Source organism: Homo sapiens, chromosome 22 (assembly GCF_000001405.40).
Source record: "Homo sapiens chromosome 22, GRCh38.p14 Primary Assembly".
Taxonomy (NCBI): domain Eukaryota; kingdom Metazoa; phylum Chordata; class Mammalia; order Primates; family Hominidae; genus Homo; species Homo sapiens.
The window spans coordinates 20,362,837-20,378,356 of record NC_000022.11 but is presented as its reverse complement, the minus strand read 5'-3'; the positions used below and the strand labels follow the sequence as shown (position 1 = coordinate 20,378,356).

Here is a 15,520-nt window from a genome sequence, read left to right as displayed (position 1 = left end):
AGAATAGGGAGGTAACTGCCTTCCTTCTTCAGGGGATTCTTGACTGCATGAAGCAGCTCCAGTTGTTTTCGGTGCCTAAGATGTAGGCACTGTTACCTGGCCCTCCCTTACCCCTCCAAAAGCTTGAAAGAGGGTCCCTTCCCATGAGCGCTGAGGCCCGAGGCCCAGTAGAGTCAGCAGTGGTATCTCTGCCTTTGCCCCACCAATGACTGCCAGCTGCCAGCTGTCTTCTGCCACTCGCTCCTTAGGACTTTCATTGTCAGGAAGTCAAGCTTTTCAGGAAATAAAAAGTAACCTTTTTTTTTTTGAGACAGAGTCTTGCTCTGTCATCCAGGATTGAGTGCAGTGGCATGATTTTGTCATGACACCATATTCCAAGTTCAAAAAAATCAATAAATTAGGTCCAATGATTCTTCTGCCTTAGCCTCCCAAGAAGCTGGGATTATAGACACCTGCCACCATGCCTGGCTAGCTTTTGTATTTTTAGTAGAGACAGGGTTTTGCCCTGTTGCCCAGGCTGGTCTTGAACTCCTGACCTCAGGTGATCTGCCCACCTTGGCCTTTCAAAGTGCTAGGATTACAGGTGTGAAACGCCACACCCTGCTGTAAGTTCTCTTCTTCTTTTTTTTTTTGATGGAGTTTCACTATTGTTGCCCAGAAAGGAGTGCAATGGTGTGATCTCGGCTCACCACAACCTTCACCTCCTGGTTTCAAATGATTCTCCTACCTCAGCCTCCCGAGTAGCTGGGATTACAGGCATGTGCCACCATGCCCAGCTAGTTTTGTATTTTTTAGTAGAGACGGGGTTTCACCATGTTGATCAGGCTGGTCTCGAACTCCCGACCTCAGGTGATCCACCTGCCTTGGCCTCCCAAAGTGCTGGGATTACAGGCGTGAGCCACCGCACCCGGCTGATTTTTGGATTTTTTTGTAGAGACACGTTTTACCATGTTGGCCAGGCTGGTCTCGAACTCCCGACCTCAGGTGATCCGCCCACCTCGGCCTCCCAAAGTACTGGAATTGCAGGCGTGAGCCACCATGCCCAGCCTTGTCAACTTCTTTACCTAGGCCTTGCCCTCAGCATTTTTTTCTCTTCCCCTTATAGGCCTGGTTGGTTTACACAACATTGGACAGACCTGCTGCCTTAACTCCTTGATTCAGGTGTTTGTAATGAATGTGGACTTCGCCAGGATATTGAAGAGGTAAGACTGTTCTTCAGGCTGATAAGCGTTTGTATTATTTCTTTTTCTTTTTTTTTGAGATGGAGTCTTGCTCTGTTGCCCAGGCTGGAGGGCAGTGGCGCGATCTTGGCTCACTGCAAGCTCTGCCCCCCGGGTTCAAGCGATTCTCCTGCTTCAGCCTCCCGAGTAGCTGGGACTAGCCCGCCACCATGCCTGGCTAATTTTTTTTGTATTTTTAGTAGAGACGGGGTTTCACCGTGTTAGCCAGGATGGTCTTGATCTCCTGACCTCGTGATCCACCCACCTCAGCCTCCCAAAGTGCTGGAATTACAGGCGTGAGCCACTGCACCCGGCCTGTATTATTTCATTTTTAATATATTCAGTTATTCACAGTGACTTGGACTTTTTGAGATCTTCTCTCAAAAGCTGGCAGAGGAAAGATCGGCTTCTGCATATTCTGGCCTACACATTATTTCTAAAACTTCTTAGGTTGGTCTGGGGTGCGGCCCAGGTATTGGTACTTTTTTTTTTTTTTTTTTGAGCTAAAGCCTCACTCTGTCCCCAGGCTGGAGAGGGATGGTGCAATCTCGGCTCAGTGGAACCTCCGCCTCCCAGGTTCAAGGGATTCTCCTGCCTCAGCCTCTCAAGTAGCTGGGATTACAGGCGCCCGCCACCACACCTGGATAATTTTTGTATGTTTAGTAGATACGAGTTTTCACCATGTTGGCCAGGCTGGTCTCAATCTCCTGACCTCAGGTGATCTGCCCGCCTCAGCTTCCCAAAGTTCTGTGATTACAGGCATGAGCCACTGGGCCCGGCCAGGTATTGGTACTTTTTAAAAGCCCTCTTTGGGTGATTTTAAATGCAGCCAGGATTGACAGCCACTGACTTGGTTAAAAGACAGAGTTGGGACTAGACCAAAGTCGGAGAAGGAGTAAGTCAGTGGGGAGTACACACCCCTCCTTCCACCAACACTCACACAATGCACTCTCTCCCTCTGTCTCTCTCTATCACTCCTTTTCTGCCCTGTGCTCTCTCCTTTTTCCCATCCGAAAAATGCCTGTGATTAAATGAATCATTGCCAAACCACACGGACAGCCTTTCATGTTGCCTTTCTTCCCAGGACCTAACCCAGCATGTGCCTCTGCAGTCTGGAGAGCTTTAGGCTGGACATTTTGCTGCTTGCCCGAGATGTGGAGCCAGGACCTCGTGCATCTGCCGTCTGCTCTAGCACGATTGCTGGGCAGGGTGCAGAGGGGCCAAGGCAGCAGTCATGCTGATCCCCCTCTCTAGAGGGTCCCCTGTAGAGCAGATTCACTCACATGGTGCTTCTCAACCTTGACCACACATTGAAATAATCTGAGGAACTGAAAAATTCTGATAACTGCCCGCGCCCCGCCCCCCGGACCCAGAATTCTGGTTTAATTTGTATGGGAGTGGCCTGGATATGAAGATTTAAAATTTCTCCCAGGTGATTCCAGTGTGCACCTAGCTTTGAGAACTACATGTAAGGAGGTTTCTGGCTGTTCTTGTGTGGCAGGATCACGGTGCCCAGGGGAGCTGACGAGCAGAGGAGAAGCGTCCCTTTCCAGATGCTTCTGCTGCTGGAGAAGATGCAGGACAGCCGGCAGAAAGCAGTGTGGCCCCTGGAGCTGGCCTACTGCCTGCAGAAGTACAACGTGCCCCGTAAGATACCCTCCCACTGGGTTCCTGGCTGCTGATCCAAAGGGGATGGGAAGCTTAGAGAGTGAAGAGAGGAACTAATGGGCAGTGAAGCAACAAGAAGCAAGTTAGGTAGCCTGGACCCCTCAGATTATAGAGACATTTGTGTAAGAGGCACACATCTTTGGAGGTGCAGAATTGATATTATTTATGGACATTTTACTTCCATACCTAACCTTTCTCTGCCTCTCAGTAGAGTAGGTGAAGGCATCTCCTCCAAGCTTATTCCACCACAGTTAGGGAACTGCAGGAAAACAGAATAAAGGAATAAAAAAGAGAAAACATGTTCTACAAAATAATTCACAAATAGGTCAGGTTTTTTTTTTAGATAGCTATATTGGGATGTGCATCACATACTGTAAAATTCATCCATTTAAAAACATACAATTCAAAGGTTTGTAGTGTATTCACAGAGTTGTGCCTCCATCATCACAATCTAATTTCATAACATTTTCATCACCCCCAGAAGAAATCCTACACTTACGGGTTTTCCCTTGTGTATAATACATTGCTTTTCTCTTGCTGCTTTCAGAATTCTTTGTCTTTAACTTTTGAAATTGATTATGATGTGTCTTGATGTGGGTTGCTTTAGATCAGTCTTATTGGTGTCCTTTGGGCTTCCTGGATGTGGATTTGTATTTCCTTCCCTGGGTTGGGAAGTTTTCAGTCATTATAGGTATGCGTTGCTTACCAACAGGGATACGTTCTGAAAATGCATCAGAAGGTGAATTTGTCATTGTGTGGACATCATGGAGTGCACTTACACAAACTTAGATGGGACAGCCTACTACACAGCTAGGCTGCATGCTATGGCCACTGTGCTCATGCGGTCTGCCATTGACTGAAATGTTGATCTGCAACTCGTGACTGTTATTTCTTTGGATAAGCTTTCCATCTCTTCTCACTCTCCTCCTTCTGGGACTCTGATAATGCCTATTTTGGTCGGCTTGATGTCCCCTAACTCTCTTAAGATATCTTCACTCTTTTTCATTCTTTTTCATTTTTGCTCCTCTGAATGATTTCCAGTGACCTATCTTCTAGTTTGCTAATCCTTTCTTCTGCTTGATTTAGTCTGTTGAGCTTCTCTTTTGAGCTCTTATTTCAGTTATTGTATTCTTCAGCTCTATTATTTCTTTTGAACTTTTTTCTGTCTCTTTGCTGAAATTCTTACTTTGTTCATGCATTGCTGTCCTAGACATGGTAAGCATCTTCATGATCATTATTTTGAATTGTCTGTAAGGTAAGTCACTTATCTTCATTTCACCGGGGGCATTTTCTGGAGATTTATCTTGTTCTTTTGCTTGGAACAGATTTCTCTGTTTCTTCATTGTTCTTGATTCTCTGTTATTTTCTGTACTTTAGTTAAGAAAAATACCTCTCCCAGGCTGGGCATCATGGCTCACACCTGTAATCCCAGCACTTTGGGAGGCTGAGGCGGGTAGATCATGAGGTCAGGAGATGGAGACCATCCTGGCTAACACGGTGAAACCCTGTCTCTACTAAAAATACAAAAAATTAGCTGGGCGTGGTGGCGGGTGCCTGTAGTCCCAGCTACTTGGGAGGCTGAGGCAGGAGAATGGCGTGAACCTGGGAGGTGGAGTTTGCAGTGAGCCGAGATCGAACCACTGCACTCCAGCCTGGGCCACAGAGCGAGACTCCGTCTCAAAAAAAAAAAAGAAAAATACCTCTCCCAGTCTTGTCCCACGGGCCTTGTATAAGAGACGAACTTACCAATTAGCCCTGCCAGACACTCGGAGCACCTCTTGACCTTTTGTGTTGTCCAAACTGTCATCTATGTTCTTAGCGGCCCTCAGGAGATTAGAATGTGTCATGTCCTGTCAGTGCCCCAGACAGGGGAGATAGAAACCAGCCCCTTGAGGTGCAGCTGGAGACGTTGGGGCATTAAATGTGTGTTCCAGTTTATTCTATCCTCAGGGAAAAGCTGGGAGCATGAGTTTATCTGCCACTCGCTCTGCAAAATGCTGGAGAGAGGATCTGTGGCAAGTGCCTGCACTCAAGTTTAAACTGCACACTCCTTCATGCATTGTTTTACTCTTTGTCACCCCCAGGGGCCTAGCAAATGCTGGCTGTTCTCTGCTTAGAGACGGACAGGTTAGTTGGAAGCTTGACGCTATCTGTTGAGCAAACCAGTGGGAGCAGCTGTGGAGGTGCTCACCTGCCTGTTCAGGGTCTCAGAGGAGCACTGGTTTCCTGCTCTGTCAGCTCCCAGATGCATAGAAACCCCAGGGCAGCAGCTGCACTGTGCAGACAAACTCCTTCTAGGGAGAAAGTAGGAGCCGGGCCTTTTTGCCTGTTCACGCTGCACTGGGCCTGGGGGGATGTTCTTTGGTCTCTGTGCCCCTGTGGGACTTACAAATACAGAGCCTTGTCAGCTCCCAAAGCTCGGTGGTTGAGGAGCTAGACCTTCATTTGAGAGGGGTAAATGTGTACTCAATGTGTGAAGTTAGAGACCTGATTTTACCATACAGCAGGGGGTGGGAGAAGGCATGGGACTTGCCCACAGGCCTGTCCAGACTCCTGGAAATCTATTGTTTACCTGCCTCATTGGCTCCAGGTGCAGGCCAGTTATTAATAGAAGCCCATCCCTCGGGCAACAGCTAGGAGAGCCCGCAGACATATCCTTCCAGGGAGGAACTGGGAGCCTGGCATTTCTGCCTGTTTGCTCTGTGCTGAGCACAGCTGCTGGAAGTGCTCACGTGCCCGTTTAAAACTGCCTCTTTGTCCTCTGTGGTCGCAGAGGATTCATAACTGCTAACCCATGTCTGCTCCCAGAGCTAGGTGACCCAGCAGCCAAGCCCTTGAGTGGGAACTGCAAAAGCTGGGGCTGCCTATGTGTGGTCCAAACCCTCCCCTCTCCAGGAGAAAGCTGGGAGTAGGGATTCCTTCCTCACAGTAAGGTACTGTGTCTGGGGTGGGGCTTGTGGTTCGAGTGTGTCTCAGCTTTTCCAACCGGTTGCGATGTGGGTGTTCTCCCCATTGCCCCCTGTGCAGGCCTCTCTCAGCTGGTTTCTGGGTTTCTTTCAGAGGGAGTTGATCTGTGTGTAGATGAGAGTTTTACCGTGTGTCCATGGGAGAAGGGGAGCACCAGGAGCCTCCTTCTCTACCATCTCGCTTGTGTCACCCTCTGTGATTCTTTTTATACATAGTTGAATTTGATTCACTAATATTTTGTTGAGGAATTTTGCATTTATGTTCACGGGAGATACTGGTTTTTAGGTTTTTTTCTTACAATGTCTGTCTGGTTTTGGTGTTAGGATAATGCTGGCCTCAGAGAATGAGTTAGGAAGTGTTCTCTCTGCTTTTGTCCTCTGGAAGAGGTTGTAGGGAATTGGTATAATTTTTCCCATAAATGTTTGGTAGAACCCATCGTTCACTAGTGAACCCATCTGGGTGTAACTGAGTACTCCCATTTTCTAAGAGATAGTTATATTAGTTTTCTTATTACTTTCTTTTCACTTCTCCTCTTCCCATCCCTCACCCCTCACCGCGGCCGTGTTTCCTGTTTCCTGTTAGCCCTTTAGAAATGCAAATATCACCTTTCGCCTACCCCTCTCCAGACATTCCCTGCTGGGCAAAAGGAAGAATCTGTAAATGGAGGTAGGCTGATGGAGGTTTGATTGAGAACAGGGCAAGATCTTCCAGCTGATCTTTCCTGAGACTTGGCAGTAGATTTGCAGCCCAAAGCATACCCACCAGGGAACTCTCCCTGCCAGGGGGTGGCTTCGAAACTTCCACCCTCTAGGGGTTTGTCTTTCACCCACTAGGAAGGCATGGAGAAAGCATGCCCACTCGGCCACTTTTCTGCCCGGAAAGGCGCCAACTCAGCTGCTGGGAACTTGATAACTGCCCGGTAGAAAACCGCCATTGCTCACTCCCCCCACCCCCACAACACACCTTATGAAAATGCCCCTCTCTCCTCCAAAGGAGAAATGGCACATTAAAAGGCAGGATGTGTCTTGCTCCTTGCCCCAGGCTGGCTTCAGAATAAGTTCACGTTTGTGTATAAAACCTTTTGTATCACATTTTTTTTTGTATCAGAGTTAGTTGAGCTCTACACGCAGTGAGCAGCTCCTCAGCTTTTCGCTGCATAGGTACTGTGTTCAGCTTTCCTTCCGTCCTCAGTCTGGAGAACCTCAACCAACCTAGCTCCAGGTTTATGGATTCTTTCTTTTGCCAGCTCTAATCTGCTATTGACCTCCTCTAGTACATTTTTCATTTCAGTTATGGTTCTCCTCAACTCAAGAATTTCTGCTTGGTTCTTCTTTTATAGTTTTTTCTTTATTGATACTTTTTATTTGGTGAGGCAGCATTTTCACACTTTCTTTTACATCTTTTGACATGGTTTTCTTTAGTTCTTTGAACATATTATAACGGCTAAAGTCTTTGTTTAGTAACGCCAACATCTAGGGCTTCTCAGTGGAAGGTTCTACGATTGCTGTTTTCCTGGGTGGCCATGCTTTTCTGTTTCATTGTAGGTCTTGTCTCTTTTGTTGGAAAATGAACATTTTAGATAATGTAAGGTGGCAACACTGGACATCAGAGATCCCCACAGCAGGGTTTGTTGTTGTTGCTGTTTTATCGTTTCTGGGCAGTTCATGATTCTGTATTCGCCTTCATTGCTTTCTTGCATGTGGCCTTGTGGTCAGCCAGAGGGGAGGGATCGGAGCCCTCTCAGGTCTTACTTGGGCATGCGCCTGGCCTTCTAGATCCTCAGGAATGTATCAGTGCTTTTCAAAGTCCCTGTGGACATCTCATTCCCCAGGCTGAGTGCAGTGGTGACATCACAGCTCACTGTAGCCTCAACATCCTGGGCTCCAGTGATCCTCCTGCTTCAGCCTCCCAAGTAGCTCTGACTACAGGCGTGCACCGCTACTCTCAAGTACTTTTTTAAATTTTTTATCGAGACGGAGTCTTGCTATGTTGCCCAGGCTGGTCTCAAACTCCTGAGTTCAAGCGATCCTCCCACCTTGGCCTCCCGAAGTGTTAAGATTATAGGCATGAGCCACTACATCTGGCACTGGAGCTTAAGTATTAAGAGGCGTTCTCAAAAATCAATACCAAACTTACTGTTTGTTTATTGATCACTTCTTCTGTCGTGCCGACTTAGCCTTGCAGTGGGGTGGAGGGCTAGGAAGAGACAAAGTGATCAGTGTTCATGTGTGTCTAAGTACCAGGGCATGAGAAGTGACTCTGAAGACCTCACTAATTGGCTGTTCCTTTTCTCTGTGGCCAGTGTTTGTCCAACATGATGCTGCCCAACTGTACCTCAAACTCTGGAACCTGATTAAGGACCAGATCGCTGATGTGCACTTGGTAAGAACCTAGAACCAGAGCACTCGGAAGCTTAAGATGCTGCTCATTTCATTCATTCAGCTGTTGTTCCCGTAGTGTGTAGAGGAATAAAAGAGTTAATCCCCTGTAATCCCAGCACTTTGGGAGGCTGAGGCAGGCAGATCACGAGGTCAGGAGATCGAGACCATCCTGGCTAACACGGTGAAACCCTGTCTCTACTAAAAATACCAAAAAATTAGCCGGGCGTGGTGGCGGGCGCCTGTAGTCCCAGCTACTCGGGAGGCTGAGGTGGGAGAATGGCGTGAACCCGGGAAGTGGAGCTTGCAGTGAGCCGAGATCGCGCCACTGCACTCCAGCCTGGGTGACAGAGCGAGACTCTGTCTCAAAAAAAAAAAAAAAAGAGTTAATCCACATAAAACACTTATCACAGTTTCATAATATTGTTACTGGTATTATTTTGCACCTTTGTGAGGAGCTTCTGTCTCTTGGCTCCACCTTCTGGCAGTTGGCCTGACCTGGCTTATGGTGGTGTTCCCATCTCACCTCTCCGCTCTCCCTCTTGCAGGTGGAGAGACTGCAGGCCCTGTATATGATCCGGATGAAGGACTCCTTGATTTGCCTTGACTGTGCCATGGAGAGTAGCAGAAACAGCAGCATGCTCACCCTCCGACTTTCTTTTTTTGATGTGGACTCAAAGCCCCTGAAGACACTGGTAAGGGGATTCTCTTGGTATTTGCTGCACCTGTATGTGTTAGTCCATTTTCTGTTGTTATAACTCAATATCTGAGACTAGGTAATTTATTTCTTACAGTTCTGGAGGCTGGGAAGTCAAGGTTGAGGGGCTGCACCTGGTGAGGACCTGCTTGCTGGTGGGGACTCTCAGAGTCCTGAGGCGAGGCAGTGCAGGGCATCACATGGCGAGGGGGCTGAGCATGCTAATGTGCCGGCTCAAGTCTCTCTTCCTCTTCATATGAAGCCACCAGTCCCACTCCCAGGATAACCGATTAACCCATTAATCCATGAGTGGATTAATTCATTTATGAGGGCTGTGCCCTCATGACGCAATAACCCCCCTACCTTTTATTTTGGAGACAGATTCTTCCTCTGTCACCCAGACTGAAGTGCAGTGGCACAATCTCAGCTCACTGCAACCTCCGCCTCCGGTGTTAAGCGATTCTCCTGCCTCAGCCTCCCAAGTAGCTGAGATTACAGGTGCCCACCACCATGCCCGGCTAATTTCTGTATTTTTAGTAGAGATGGGGTTTCACCATGTTGGCCAGGCTGATCTGAAACTCCTGACTTCAAGTGATCCCCCTGCCTCAGCCTCCTTGGGATTACAGGCATGAGACACCTTGCCCTCCCCAATTATCTCTCAAAGTCCCCACCTTTCCATACAGCCACACTGGGGATTCAGTTTCAACCTGGGTTTTGGGGAGGACAAACCCTCAAACCATCACACCACACAGCACAGTGTGGCCAATTCCCCCTTGCCTCTTTGATCTATCTCTGGCTTCTGGAAAGTCACTTATTTCATTTTCACGGCGCTGGCCAATTTCTCCTTTGTTTTGGCAAAAATGTTTTTCCCTCCTACCTCCACTTCCCTCATACTGCTCCCTTAATAGGAGCCCCCTCCTGTTTTGTTCCTCCAGTCAGTAGGTGCCCTTTGAGATCCTGCCAAGTGGACCACACCAGGCCAGGCATTAAGGGGGATATGAGGAGAACCAGAAGAAAAGCTGAAACCCTCAGCTGCAAAGTGTGGGGAGGCTGTACCTGATACAGTTTGGGTCTGTGACCCTGCCCAAAAATCTCCTGTTCAATTGTAATCCCCAGTGTTGGAGGTAAAGCCTGGTGGAAGGAGATTGGATCATGGGGGAGTGTTTCTCGTGAATGGTTTGGCACCATCCCCCGTGGTACTGTCTTTGTGACAGTGAGTTCTCATGAGATCTGGTTGTTTAAAAGTGTGGAGCCAGGCTGGGTGTGGTAACTCACGCCCATAATCCCAGCACTTTGGGAGGCTGAGGTGGGTGGATCACCTGAGGTCAGGAATTTGAGACCAGCCTGGCCAACATGGTAAAACCCTGTCTCTACTAAAAACATAAAAAATTAGCTGGGCGTGGTGGTGCAGCCTGTAGTCCCAGCTACTTAGGAGGCTGAGGCAGGAGAATCGCTTGAACCCGGGAGGTGGAGGTTGCGGTGAGCTGAGATCGCGCTCCTGCACTCCAGCTCCCCACTTGGTCTCTTGCACCTGCTCCTCCCAGGTAAGACGCCTGCTCCTGCTTGGCCTTCCGCCATGATTGGGAGCTTCCTGCGGCCTCCCTAGAAGCAGATGCTGCCATGCTTCCGGTCGGCCTGCAGAACCATGGGCCAATCAAACTTCTTTTCTTATAAATTACCCAGTCTCAGCTATTGTCTCACAGCAGTGTGAGAACAGACGAATATAGTATTCTAGGTGGGAAATACCAACGCTGCTTTTTCCCTGTTCTCTTGGGTGGGACAGGAGGACGCCCTGCACTGCTTCTTCCAGCCCAGGGAGTTATCAAGCAAAAGCAAATGCTTCTGTGAGAACTGTGGGAAGAAGACCCGTGGGAAACAGGTACTCATTCCCTAAATCAGACTCAGCTGTCCCTCGGTGCATATGGGGGATTTGTTCCAGGACCCCTGCTTTTACCAAAATCCACACACACTCAAGTCACACCCAGTCGGCCCTGTGGAACCCACGTATAGGAAAAGTCAGTCCCTCATCTATGCGGTTGTGCATCTGGGATACTTTATTTTTGATGAGCATTTGGTTGCAGATGTGGAACTCGTGCCTATGGGGGAGGGCAGACTGTATTTATTTACAACAATTTGTGTATAAGCGGACCCATACAGTCCAAACCTGTGCTGTTCAGGGGTCATCTGTCCTTCACTAGTCTGGGGTTGCCCCCCGTGGATTTCCTGATAGAATCATCAGAGGCCCCGAGGACATCCCATGATGGGTGAGAAAGGGAATCTGGGTCTGGCTAGTATCTGGGACGCTGTGGTTCTGATATCTGGAGCCGTGGATGTGGCTTCTCATGTCGCATCACTGAGAGGGACTGCAGGAGGGGGCCTGAGAGCAGCGGGCAGGGCATTTCCCTCGGGGCGAGACCAGCTCCCTGGAGCAGACGTGGTGGCTCCCTGGGTCCTGGTACCTGTGCAGAGCCCTGTGCCCTTGTGCCTCTTGTGGGGGGCCACATGGTGGTAGAATAGCCAAGTTTTGCATTATTCTCAGAGGAGCTCAGCAGATTCAGTGAACAGGAGCCTTGAACTCCATGATGTCGCCCTGCTCCCCTCTTTTTGGGAAGAACGCGTTGCTAGCCCTGACATTTCTCTGACTCTCTCATTCCAAGTGGACTTCATCTCCAGAGTGATTTTGATTTTTCAGGTCTTGAAGCTGACCCATTTGCCCCAGACCCTGACAATCCACCTCATGCGATTCTCCATCAGGAATTCACAGACGAGAAAGATCTGCCACTCCCTGTACTTCCCCCAGAGCTTGGATTTCAGCCAGATCCTTCCAATGAAGCGAGAGTCTTGTGATGCTGAGGAGCAGGTGGGATGATCCCGACCTCCTTGCCATCCTGCCTCTCCCCAGATGCCATGTCCTTTCTGTTTTCCCTTCCTTCACCCCCAGTCTGCTAGGAGCCACCTGTTCCTCAGAGACTGTCCCCAGCCTCAAAAGCCTTTCTTCTTTCTAAATATTGGATTTGTGTTCATATGCCTCACAGCACTGAGGGACAGAATCCAGAATTCAGTAGGCTTCTTTGGAAATAATGTGGAATACATAGAAATGCATAGGCAAACATGTCATTGTGGGTTCATAGTACCAACCAAACTTTCTTCCTCAGATGGCCTGTGCCCACTTTGAGGATAATCATAAAGTAGCCAGTTGACTGGACCACATTTAATCAGAGTAAAGTTTAATTCACTTGTCCTGAGATAATAACTTATCAAGAGATTCTGAGAAAAAAAGAGACACAAGGCCAGGTGATGTGGCTCATGCCTGTGATCCCACACCTCAAAAGGCTGAGGCAGGAGGATTGCTTGAGCCCAGGAGTTCGAGACCAGCTTCAGCAACATAATGAGACCCCCGTCTCTCAAAAAAAAAAAAAAAATTAGCTGGGTGTGGTAGCACAAACCTTTAGTCCCAGCTACTTGGGAGGCTGAGTTGGAGGATCACTTGAGCCCAGGAGTTTGAGGCTGCAGTGAGCTATGATCTATCATTGTACTCCAGCCTGGGTGACAGCGCAAGACCCCGTCTCTAAAAACAAAACAAGAAAAACTTAAAAAAAAAAAAAAAAAAAAAAAAAAAGGACCCAAATATCTTTTTTTCCATAGATTTGAAATGCTACATAACAAATTTTGTATTTCTATATGTACGGGTCTATTTTTGGAGTGTCTCTTCTGTTTTATTGGTCTGTTTGGCTATTTATGCTCTAGAACCATGACATTTAGAAAATTAAGACCTGATAATACGTTACAATAGCTCCTATTATAACATGATTTCTTTCCCTACTTAGGCCGTATACATTTCATAGGATTCTCTTTTTCTTTCCTTCTAGTTCTTTTTATTTCTACCTGCAGATTCTACCCGATGAAGTACATTTAAAATTGTTTTTCACTTAAAAAAGACTTTTTTGGCTGGATGCAGTGGGTCACACCTGTAATCCCAGCTCTTTGCGGGGCCAAGAGGATTGCTGGAGTCCAGGAGTCGAGCCCAGCTGGACAACAAAGCAAGACTCCATCTTTGCAACAACAACAAAAAAGACTTTGTTATGGAACATTACAAATAGATACCAAAGTGTGTAGTGAAGGAAGAGTTAGACAGTGAATCCTTGGCTGTAACAGTTACCAAAACGCATGGCAGGTCTTGCTTTTCCTATAACCCACCCTCTTGTTTCACCCAACCCTGTACTGGATTTTTTTGAAGCAAATCCCAGACATCATACTATTTCATTTATAAACACTTCATTATGTATCACTAAAGAATAAGCACTTAAAAGATAATCATCTCCATCTTGCAATTCCTTAATAGCATCAAATATCTGGTTAACGTTCAGACTTCCTGACTGTTGTGTAATCTATGTGGTTTGTTTGACTCTAGATCCAAACAACGCCTACACTTGCATTTGGTTAAGTTTCTTTCTTTTCTTAAGTTCCTTTTAGATTTCCGCTCCTTTTCTTTTCCTTGCAGTTGATTTGGTTGAATATTTTTTTCATATGCCAGCACTGGCTGGTTGATATCTTTTAACATCATCTATAACCCTTTTATTTCTTGTAAACTAATATTTAGATACAGATATTGCCCTGCATTTTGTAAAGTTCTGCACAAAGTCTGCAAATGGAAATAGGGATAATTTCAGCCTCCACTGTGGGTGACTCAGCTTTGCGTGTGCCGCCCTTGCCCTCTGTCTCCCCTCCCCCTACAAAAGACTTTTTTGGCTGGGTACGGTGGCTCAGGTTAGGGTCATTCCTGGGCTTGTGGAGAAGCAGAACTGTGTTCTGATGATCCCCACCCCTCCCAGGGGAAAGTTCTAATCTTGCCTTGGCTTTGGGGGCCTCTCTCATGACCTCATGCCTTCCATCTCTTGTGTGCTCTGCCCTGCCAAGCTGCTGAGCCTTCACAGTTCAGGATCCACACTCAGGAAAGCCCCTCCTGGAGGGTGCCCACTGGCCGTGGGTCAGGACTGTTTTCTAATATTCTAAAGTCCCAGAGTCGGGCCTCGGGTGGACAGGTATAAATGTGTGAGGCAGTCGTGTTTGTGGTGGTGGGTGAACTGTCTCGTGCCTGTCTCTTTCCAGTCTGGAGGGCAGTATGAGCTTTTTGCTGTGATTGCGCACGTGGGAATGGCAGACTCCGGTCATTACTGTGTCTACATCCGGAATGCTGTGGATGGAAAATGGTTCTGCTTCAATGACTCCAATATTTGCTTGGTAAGAAACATCATCCACAATTGCCTCCTGCCCTGGATTGGCCACCTCTAGCAAATGCTGGGCTCAGGGCTGCCTGGGTCTCTGAGATCAAGACACACTGTGATCCTGCTGTCTGGGTGTGGGGCCTTTGATGAGGGTTCAAGCCTTTTTCGGTCTGAAGTCCCCATGTGGTTTGCACCTCTGCAAGGGTTCAATTCACTTCACTTCTAAGTTTTTGGTGCTCTAGGCTCATGCTCTGCAGCTTCCTGCTTTGTGGGAAATGTCTAGAGAGCAAGGAGAGTTAGAAATATGTAAGTTAGGCCTCTGGGAAAAGCATGACCAAGTTTAAACACAGGGACAAGGGCGCTAAACATACTTCACTGCACAAGACATCCTGCTGCTGTTGCTCCAGGCTCTTGGGAGTTGCTAGGGGTGGGCTTGTCTGGAGGATGAGGGGCACATTATAGTGTCCTGTCCTCTGTGGGTGCTTGTGTCAGCTGGCTGCTTGACCCCATTTGTTTCTGGCTTCCAGGTGTCCTGGGAAGACATCCAGTGTACCTACGGAAATCCTAACTACCACTGGTAAGAAACAGATTTGGGTAATTGGAGTCTGATGAGCTCACATAGGGTCCTTGGAGCTGCATGAAACGCCCATGGATTCCCCTGTTACTAACATGCTGATGGCTCACTGTCTGCCTCATCTCCAGCACTCACCCCACCACCCCATGTTTGCCTCACACGTCACACTCCAGGAATATTAAAGTACAGGTAGCTGCCAATCAGCCGTGCCCTCCATCTCCCGTCTGCTGTGCACATGCACTTCCTGGCCGTATTGTCCTCTCCTCGTTTACCATCTAGGCCAACCCCCCACTCATGTTTTCATACTCATGGCCTTTTCCTATCCTGTGAAGCCTTTGCTGATTCACCCAGATTCGTAGGGGCTTCTTGTATGGTTTTCTTTTTTTCTTTTTTTTGACGGAGTCTCGCTCTGTTGCCGGGCTGGAGTGCAGTGGCACAATCTTGGCTCACTGCAACCTCCGCCTCCCAGGTTCAAGCGATTCTCCTGCCTCAGCCTCCTGAATAGCTGGGACTACAGGTGTGTGCCACCACGCCCAGCTGATTGTTTTTTGTATTTTTAGTAGAGACGGTGTTTCACGATGTTGGCCAGGATGGTCTCAGTCTCTTGACCTCATGATCCACCTGCCTCAGCCTCCCAAAGTGCTGGGATTACAGGCATGAGCCACCACACCCGGCCTTCTTATATGATTTTATTGCATTTGAGCATACCTCTTTTACATCGAAGATCTTTTTTTTTAATTTAATTTTATTTTTAGAGATGGAGTCTTGCTTTGTTGCCCAGGCTGGAGCAT

At 47.9% G+C, this 15,520-nt stretch overlaps 1 pseudogene, besides 2 other annotated features; it reads left to right on the top strand.

Annotated features, from left to right (window-relative positions):
• On the top strand, positions 1,097 to 14,741 carry USP41P (ubiquitin specific peptidase 41, pseudogene; annotated as a pseudogene).
• Positions 4,888 to 5,057: an enhancer, noted in NCBI's record as "experimental_62637 CRE fragment used in MPRA reporter constructs". NCBI's record gives its function as "activates a minimal promoter by MPRAs in K562 erythroleukemia cells, with activity observed for the non-introgressed 22:20727675 or rs60469696 variant allele {active_cell/tissue: K562}" and the evidence as "EXISTENCE:reporter gene assay evidence [ECO:0000049][PMID:34662402]".
• Position 4,972: a transcriptional cis regulatory region, noted in NCBI's record as "Neanderthal adaptively introgressed variant 22:20727675 (GRCh37/hg19 assembly coordinates) or rs60469696 in the experimental_62637 CRE". NCBI's record gives its function as "modulates activity of the experimental_62637 enhancer by MPRAs in K562 erythroleukemia cells {active_cell/tissue: K562}" and the evidence as "EXISTENCE:reporter gene assay evidence [ECO:0000049][PMID:34662402]".